The 9084-nt window shown below is 34.6% G+C and overlaps 1 protein-coding gene across 1 annotated transcript in view; it reads right to left on the bottom strand.

The window, feature by feature from the left end:
* The window catches only part of SMC3 (structural maintenance of chromosomes 3), a 38354-nt gene continuing 29270 nt past the window's right edge, over window positions 1–9084 (bottom strand). Inside the window, exons 20-29 of the mRNA NM_005445.4 lie at window positions 7759–7910; window positions 6237–6395; window positions 5503–5610; window positions 4919–5027; window positions 4165–4412; window positions 3871–4083; window positions 3384–3575; window positions 3047–3224; window positions 2759–2865; window positions 1–1818 (exon numbers count right to left, since the gene is read on the bottom strand). Coding sequence (NP_005436.1) covers window positions 1747–1818; window positions 2759–2865; window positions 3047–3224; window positions 3384–3575; window positions 3871–4083; window positions 4165–4412; window positions 4919–5027; window positions 5503–5610; window positions 6237–6395; window positions 7759–7910 — 1538 coding nt within the window. The 3' untranslated portion in view covers window positions 1–1746. The remainder of the gene's footprint in view (window positions 1819–2758; window positions 2866–3046; window positions 3225–3383; window positions 3576–3870; window positions 4084–4164; window positions 4413–4918; window positions 5028–5502; window positions 5611–6236; window positions 6396–7758; window positions 7911–9084) is intronic.

The raw sequence follows: 9084 nt of genomic DNA, 5'->3' as shown, positions 1-9084 counted from the left end.
TTTTGTTTCATTATTTAGATGCTTTATTGTTATAAATTTACTGGCATTTCATTATACTAATATCCTTGGGGAAATGCTTAAGAACAATATTAAGAAGTTCTAGAATGATGTTATGTTTGTAACATCCCTTGAATTGAATCCTGGAACTTACCTTACACCAAATTCTGTATTATAAGGGGTTGGTCATATCAGAGCAACTCTACAAATCGTAAACTATACACCAAGCATTCATGATGAATATTCTTAGGTAGTTGTTTGAGAAAAATTCTTGGGTAAATGTGTAAGAAAAATGGTAGAAATATTAGAAAGATATTATAGTTACGTAACCCTTTGAATGTAGTCATAGATAGAACATATACCAAATTCTCTATTATAGATCAGTTATGTTATAGCAAAGCTACAAAGTATAAATAATACACCGAACATTTAAAGATTCAGCCAGTCAAAATGAAAACCCAAAGTAAACTCACATTTTTAAATTCAATTTAAAGTCCCATTACTATTTCTTTATTTTAAAAGTATCTCTTTAGGTATTTCTGGTTTCCAATGATGGAAGAGTAGCTCCTAACAAATTCTCCTGCAGATAACCAGTATAAACTCAGGCCAGGGGAAATCAAGAAAAAGAAATTAAAGGTAAATATTTGAAAAGGAAGAAATAAAACTGCCTCTTTCTTGCAAATGACATGACTGTCTATGTAGAAAATCTCAAAGAATCTACAAAAAGCTACGAGGACTATTGAGGTAGTTTTCCAGGGTCACAGGAGACCCCCAGTGCTTAAAGACCTACTTTCAAAGAAAAGAGTAGTATGGAAAGGGAAAAAAATGTAACTTCACAACAAAGAAACCTGGCAAGTACAATGTTGGGTAGGTGATCAAGGTAAACATCAGTGATAAAACATGTTAATAATATGTACTATTATATGAGGTAATGAGAATACTTCGCTTCTGTGGTATTAGCTCCAATCTAACCATGAGAAAAATATTAGACAAACCTAATTTGAGGGACATTCTACAAAATATGTGAATATTATTCAAAATTGTCAAGATATGATAAACAATGACAGAGAAATTGTCACAGACTAGAGGAGATGTAAGTAAATGTAATGTATCCTCTGTGGGATCCTAGAAAAGAAAAAGGGCCTTAGTGGAAAAACTAGTCAAATCTGAATAAAATCTTGAGCTTAGTTGATAGTAATGTATCAATGATAAATATACCATGGTAGGGGCTGATTTTGTGCTTCCCTTCCCAAACTCACATGTTGAAGTCCTAACCCTCAATACCTCAAATTTAACTGTATTTGGAGACAGGTCTTTTAAAGAGGTGATTAAGTTAAAATGAGGCCTTACATCCAATCTGATTAGTGTTCTCACTGGAAGAGACTATGACAAATGAAAAGCCACATAAAACACTATATTAGTCATAAAACCGATTATTTAATTGAAGCTATAAAAAAGGTAGTATAAGTGATAAAATAATTAGGAAAGAATATTTAGCATGTTTCAAAACATTTAAAATAGGAGCAGAACATTTTACAAAAAGTTGTACAGGAAATTAAATTCTTAAACTATCAGTACAAACATGACATTACAGAGTATCTTATAAAATACAAAGACAAATATAAAAGGACTATGATGCTTTAAGTCTGAAAACTATTGGCCAAATATTTAGGTTTAAATTTACAGTTCCTGGGTATGAGAATCATATTACTATATACATCTCCCAAACCAGTAGGTAGTATTTTCCAATTAACCATGTGTGGTATCATCTTCTACAAAGTCTTTGGCCATCTCTGCTGTGATCACATCAATATGACTAACCTGAAGAATAAATGTTAAAAACAAAAATCTGTTAATTACATCAGTGTTTACATTGTATAGGGTAAATATATACAGCCTATCAACTACATTTAACTACATTTTTTAATTTTTAGTTTTTTTTTTTTTTTTTTTTTTTGAGATGGAGTCTTGCTCTGTTGCCCAGGCTGGAGTGCAGTGGCACCATCTTGGCTCACTGCTACCTCCGCCTCCCAGGTTCAAGCAATTATTCTGCCTCAGACTCCCAAGTAGCTGGGACGACAGGTGCACGCCAGCATGCCCAGCTAATTTTTGTATTTTTAGTAGAGACGGGGGTTTCACCATACTGGCCACGTTGGTCTCAAACTCCTGACCTGGTTATCTACCTGCCTTGGCCTCCCAAAGTGCTGGGATTACAGGCATGAGCCATTGCGCCCGGCCTATCACCTATATTTTACATATGAAGGAAAATAATTCTGAAGCACTGACTTATAAAACCTTTATTTACAGTGGTGTTTGTTCAATGCATAGATTTAAAAAATATGTATTTTAATGCTCTGAAGAAATAAATATCATGCCTAAACATCTAAACTACCTTTTTGTTCACTTTCTATTACTTTGCTATTTCATCAAGAATTTTAAGGTTGGGAAGACACCCAGGAAGAGCTATGCAGTCTATACAAATGAACATATATAATTGTTAAAGACTGTGCATTACAGAAGCATTGAATAGACTGGACAGAAAGATATTGTTTATTAATGCCAATGAAAATAAAACCAATGCAACGCCATAAAATACTGCTAAACTTCATAGTTATTTGAAGGAAAAGTTCTTTCTTTACAAAGACATCAGATAAGCAAAGACTTTCTAAGTTTTCTTTCACTATTTAAGTAACATAAAATCAGAATTCAACAAATATAATTGAATAAATACAAACTTAAACTCAATGTAAAATAAAATTACCTTATTTCTGAACTTTACACCATAGAATTTGTCAGCTGACTCAAGCAGTTCAGGCCTAAAAGTAGTTGTAATAAACTGAGCATGTACAGCAAGTTCCATAATCATATCTGTAAAAAGAAAATTGTGCTTTAACAAATTTCTTTTCAGCAGATCTGAAAATTTAAAAAGCAACTATCTTTACTCTTACTAAAATTCAAAACTGCCTGAGTTTGATTTTTTCATATATACATCAGCAAATATTACCAGCTTATTGTTAAATACAAAACCAAAACTGTACTGAAACTGTACCTGACACAGCCTTTCTGTGCTGAGCATCCAGAGCCTGGTCAATTTCATCAAACAAGTAAAATGGAGCCGGGTCACATTTCTGAATGGCAAAAATCAGAGCAAGGGCTACCAAGGATTTCTGTCCACCTGAAAGCTGTTGCATTTCTCTCATTTCACCTTGTTTTCCTGTAAATGACACCTAAAAATAAACATATTATGAGTTAATATCCTAAAGGGCAGAATCACCACCATCTTTCAAAAGTAACTTGCATATAATGCACCAATCAGATTTGCAAAAGATACTATAAATTCTATTATGGTAATGCTCTGAGGAAAATGGAATATAAAGGTATTTTACCCTAATTCCAACTCCAGTAAACTGGTCAACTGATGGGACACTGCTTTGTGAGCCAGAACCCCTCTCACTCTCACCACTCCCTTCTCCTTCATCTTGAGACTGACTGCCCTCCACATCTCCTTTCTTCATCACCAAAGTAGCTTTGCCACCAGGTACTAACTTCTGGAATACTTCACTGAAGTTCTTAGATACCTTAAAACAAAAGCAGATTGAAATATAAATTTTGCTTAGAATTATATATAACACTTAAGTAAAATATTTAAAAGCAACCAATTATTTTTTAATCTTAAGAACAAGGATAACAGACTAGATCCTTCTAAGGGCTGTGTAAAACATTCAAGTTACTGTAAACCTATATGCTAGGTTTGTTCACATGTATTAGATTCACCTGGTAATGAGGAAAACAGCTTTAAAATCTTTACAAACTGAAAAGAGCTGGAAGCTTTTGTCCTCTGTGTGTATGTTTTAACTACAAAGCGAAACATACCTGTTTGAAAGTTAACTGAATAGCTTCATATTTCCGAAGTTCAAGTACATTCATCAGTTCCATGATTGATTTGTAACCCCTATCTAACTCTTCTTGACGCTTTATTAACTTTTCTTTCTGCTCGGAGAAATTTACAAACTGATCCAAAGCCTTTTTGTTAACATGGCTGTACTTCTTTAATTCTGTGTTGCACTGCTCAAGTTTTCGAAACAACTATAAAGAGAAAATATGTATTCATATAAATAAATTTATATACTGAGCAATTTGTAACAAGACTTCAAATTTAAAACCAACCTGTTTGAGGCTCAGTGTCTGGTACTTTTCAAATGCTTCCTGGGGAAGTGATCCAAGTTCTCGAATTTTCTTCATACACTCTTCTTTCTTCTTCAATAGCATGCCTTGCCGATTTGTCATCTTTTCCAGTTCTTTAGTATCATGATTTATAGCATCCATATGTTCTTTTTCCATATTTTTCCAGCGCTCCATACTCTTCTGAAGCTCCTTAATTCCAGCTTCTGTTTTATCAATGGAATTGTCCAAATCTAAGATGGGGGGAAACAAAATTAGGCTATAATACCTATAAAGCCAGTGTTATATGTTGAGTATAGATTTTTATGATCAAACCTACCAAAATAGGTTTTAGGTTTTGTGTTTAAAATTTTCTGTGAAAATTTATGAACCATGTTAAGTCAGTACAAAATTAGAAGTATATATGAGTCACTCAAATATATAATTTTCATTATTCAATGTTAATGCTTATAAACTATAGTTATTTTCTAACAACTAAGTGATGAGAAACTTTCGTCAGGTATTTCATATTTTATCAACAAAATGAATCATTTATGGTCTCAAAATTGTCATAAACATTTCAGTAAAACAAAAGTTACTATTTATAGTCAACTTCCTAAATTCCATTTGCTATACATTGTTTATAATGGAAAACAAAAAATCATTAGCATATGCTTCTGCCTATTTGGACATTTCATTCTGTAGTAAACAATTTTATAAAACATGCATATAAACAAAATTTTACTACATAAAAATTCACCTTCTGATCGTGCCATAGTGTCTTTTACTCTTTTATTGATGGCTTCAAGTTCTGATGTTGTGGCTGTGAGAACAGTACCCCCTTCTGTCTCTCTCAGCTCATTAAGTTCCTGTAACAAAAAATACAAATTCCATTAGTTTCAAATGTTATGACTGCCAACATTTTCTATGGCTATTGTCTGAATAAACATTCAAGAAAACAAAAAAATATAAATACATCATATAATTACAAATACTTAGAAGTATCCATTAAAGGGAAGAAAAAAAAGACACAATTACTAGAAAATTTCTAAGCATCTAACCACCACTGAAAAAATATTAACAAAGTACTTAGAATGTGTCAGGATAGCAATTATATAAAACAAGTATGATAATGCTTAATTCACACAAGAAACTGAGGCTTAGAAATAGTGACTTGTCCAAAATCACACACTAGGTGGCAGAATTCCAACCCAAGGCCCACAAGACACTAAGCTTTCTGTCCCCAAAGCCCATGCTTTCAATCAGAGCCTCTGATATAACCACTTGCAATAGGTCATGGCCACCAAGGAGCCCTTAAAAAAAAAAAAAAAAACACATACACACCTGTTCTACTTGGTCCAAGCGTTTTCTCAGATTCTCATTGAGATAAGTCTCTACTCGAGTAATAATACCTTCTAATTTAATTCTTTCATTTAGCAACTGTCTGTTTTCCTAGAATTAAGAAAAAGTTGTCTATATAAGCATGTACATTTCACACACAGGAATGGTGCTCATTTGCTGTCCTCTCTAGTACTTGTGCTCATGTGAGCTGAAATGAAGTTTAATATGTTATATTCTTCAAAAAAGCCCTATACTTTCTTCATTTTTCTCTTATCAATTCATAATGTTAAATTTTTGTGGCTGGCCCTTTTTATAACGCATGCTGTCAAAAACAGTTTCTTTAAATGCTTTTCATTTTTTAGAATCGGTGTTGGTAGTTTACATCTATGCAGTTTTAAAAATCAATTAAAATGCTTGATCAAAACATTAAATATGTAAAGGCAGTAAGATAAATATGGTAAGGCTAACAAGCTCAAACTCATAGCAATACTTACAACTAATAAGTAATGCTAATTAACTAAATTTTAAGGAAATGAAAATTTCTTGTATAATCCTAACCTAGCTAGATTGGTTTAGAAAAACAAAATCTTATTTACTCCTATGTATATTAAAAGTCCAAGCCTCATTTTAATATTTTCTCAGTTCTTTTCTTTCATATTGCCCTAGTTAGCAAGAAAGGCCCTTTTCACAATAGCCAATTACTAACGAATTCTTTTTCCAGTCAGCTGTCTACTTACCTGCTGAAGTTGACGAATCTCATCATTCAGTGCATCTACTCTCTTCTGATCTTCCAAACTCAGTTGAGAAAGCAAATCAGTTCCCAGTTCTGCTTTCAATGACTCTCTGGTAGACTCCATAGCATGCAAGCTTGCCTCCAAACTCTGTAAGCTACGTTGCTATATGACATTATCCATTTATTAGTAAGGTATTAGCCACTGTATTACTTATAGTGAAAATTTTAAAACAATCTATATTTGATTGAGCTAAATATATAGACATATCAACTCAAATATTAGGTGCCTATTAATTTGGTAATTAGGACTCTAGCAACAAGAAAAATATGATGTAATAGTATAGGTGGGGCAGGGTGGGGCAGATCATATTCCATGATTAAACTATACAAAAATCTTCAGGCATATTATAAGAACAAAAAGTTGCCGGGCGCAGTGGCTCACGCCTGTAACCCCAGCACTTTGGGAGGCCAAGGTGGGTGGATCACGAGGTCAGGAGTTCGAGACGAGCCTGGCCAACATGGTGAAACCCGTCTATACTGAAAATACAAAAATTAGCTGGGTGTGGAGGCACACGCCTGCAATCCCAGCTACTCTGGAGGCCGAGGCAGGAGAATTGCTTGAACCCAGGAAGTGGAGGTTGCAGTAAGCCGAGATCACGCCATTGCACTCCAGCCTGGGCGATAGGGCGAGACTCCATCCCCCTCAAAAAATAAAAAGTTGTCAGAATATGGTTGGGATGGTACAACTGTAGGCACATCTTTTTTTTTTTTTTTAAGCTCTTTGTAGTTTTAGTATTATACTAAGTAAAAGATTTGTCAAAACTGTCAAGTTTATGAGACCAATAACACACTATCACTTATAAGTTTGCTTTCTAATTTTAATACAATCTGGACAAAACGGAATCAAATATTCAACTAATTCCATTGTGCTTCAGATAAAAATGGTTACTGACAAAAACTGACCATCAGACAGTACTCTTATGTCACAGCTTCAAATGCCTATTTGTTCAATGAAGGTGGAAAGTTTGAACGTGCCAACAATAGGAGACTTTGGGTATCCATGGGTTTAAGAATGGTAAAATAGATGTAGATATCCAAAAGTATGGGTCTAGCCTGGGCACAGTGGCTCACACTTGTAATCCCAGCACTTCGGGAGGGCAAGGCAGGTGGATCATCTGAGGTCAGGAGTTTGAGACAAGCCTGGACAACATGGTGAAACCCCATGTCTACTAAAAACACAAAATTAGCCGGATGTGGTGGCGTATGTCTGTAGTCCCAGCTACTCAGGAGGCTGAGACAGGAAAATCGCTTGAACCCAGGAGGTGGAGGCTGCAGTGAGCTGAGAACGCACCACTGCACTCCAGCCTGGGTGAGACAGAAAGAGACTCTGTCTTCAAAAAAAAAAAGTATGGGTCCAAACAAAAATGAAACATAAAATTCAAGGATAACCCATATAATGTATGATTCATATTTCCATATTATTAATCTGTAACAATCGATCTATAACCAAAGATATACTTACGAACCTTAGGCATGAAGGTTTTCTCTGACTGCTGCCTCTTCTCTTTTAGCATCTTCATTTCTGATAATATGCTATCTCTAGATGCTTTAAATTTCCTTTGCTGGGTCTCGATCTGTTGCATTTGGTTCATCAACTGATCAATTTCATTATTAATCCATATACAAGGCTAAGGAAAATTATCTCCAGGTTGTAAATATATCGTATGTTCTTAATTCTTTTTAGACACAACACCATGTATCCCTTCCTTTTCTTTACCCCCAAATAACATTTATGTCCTCAAATTTATGGACCAAAACAATGCTGAACTATATTACCCAAAATGCATTCAATCATAAAGAAGCTTGAAACATTTCACCCCATTTCACTCTCAGAATAACATGTATACTGTTTTACTAAAAGTTATACAAAACAAATTCTTGGAAAACCATAAAGGAGGTTAGGTGAAATCTAACAATATTACATACTTTTAAATATCTTTTCATTCAACAAATGTTTACTGTTACTATGCTTAAGGCACTATGTTAAGGGTTTATGTATGAAGAGTTCTTGCCATGTGTGGAATAATTCAATCTAGCTGGATTATCAAACACAGGAAGACAGCTGGTATACACTGTCAACATCCTCCTTTTCCTCAGTATTTCCCCATACGCTCTTTGTGTTAACATCTTGCCAAATTCAGGCAGTTCTTTAAAGTGCGATATGCAGACCCCTGCAAGGTCAAAGCTCAGGTGCTTATTTTTCTTTTTCTGTGCTTGCACTGATGGCACAGAAGTTATAAATCTGCAGTTTTAAAAAAATTCCAGTTTCACCTGAAGCAGTTAAAAATCATTAACTTTATATCTATTCTTGATGCTCAAGTACCTATATTTTTCAACTTGTGTGGCAAAATGGAAAGCACACATAAAGTACTTCTTATACCAAAGCACCATGGTGGTTTTAAGAAAATCCACATATACAATTGTTTCATTTGTGAACTGAACTAACCACTCCTCATGCAGCACCATTTTTATGTAAAAAAAAAAACTATGGCTACTCCGACTTGGTTATCTGACAGCCATTTCCTCCACTAACATTAAATCTGCACCAAATAACTTCAAGACAGTAAAATCTAACATTTTTCACCCTCCCCTGTCACCTTTTTTTTTTTTTTTGAGACAGGGTCCCACTTTGTCACCCAGGCTGGAGTGCAGTGGTGTGATCTCAGCTCACCGCAACCTCCACCTCCCAGGCTCAAGTGATCCTCCTGCCTCAGCCTCCCAAGTAGCTGGGACTACAGGCCTGTGCCACTGTACAAGTACAATAAAATGCCAGTCCTTATATATTTGACTTC

Source organism: Homo sapiens, chromosome 10 (genome assembly GCF_000001405.40).
Source record: "Homo sapiens chromosome 10, GRCh38.p14 Primary Assembly".
In the NCBI taxonomy this organism is placed as follows: domain Eukaryota; kingdom Metazoa; phylum Chordata; class Mammalia; order Primates; family Hominidae; genus Homo; species Homo sapiens.
Note: the sequence above shows the minus strand (reverse complement) of the source record. Positions and strands in the feature narration are given on the sequence as shown.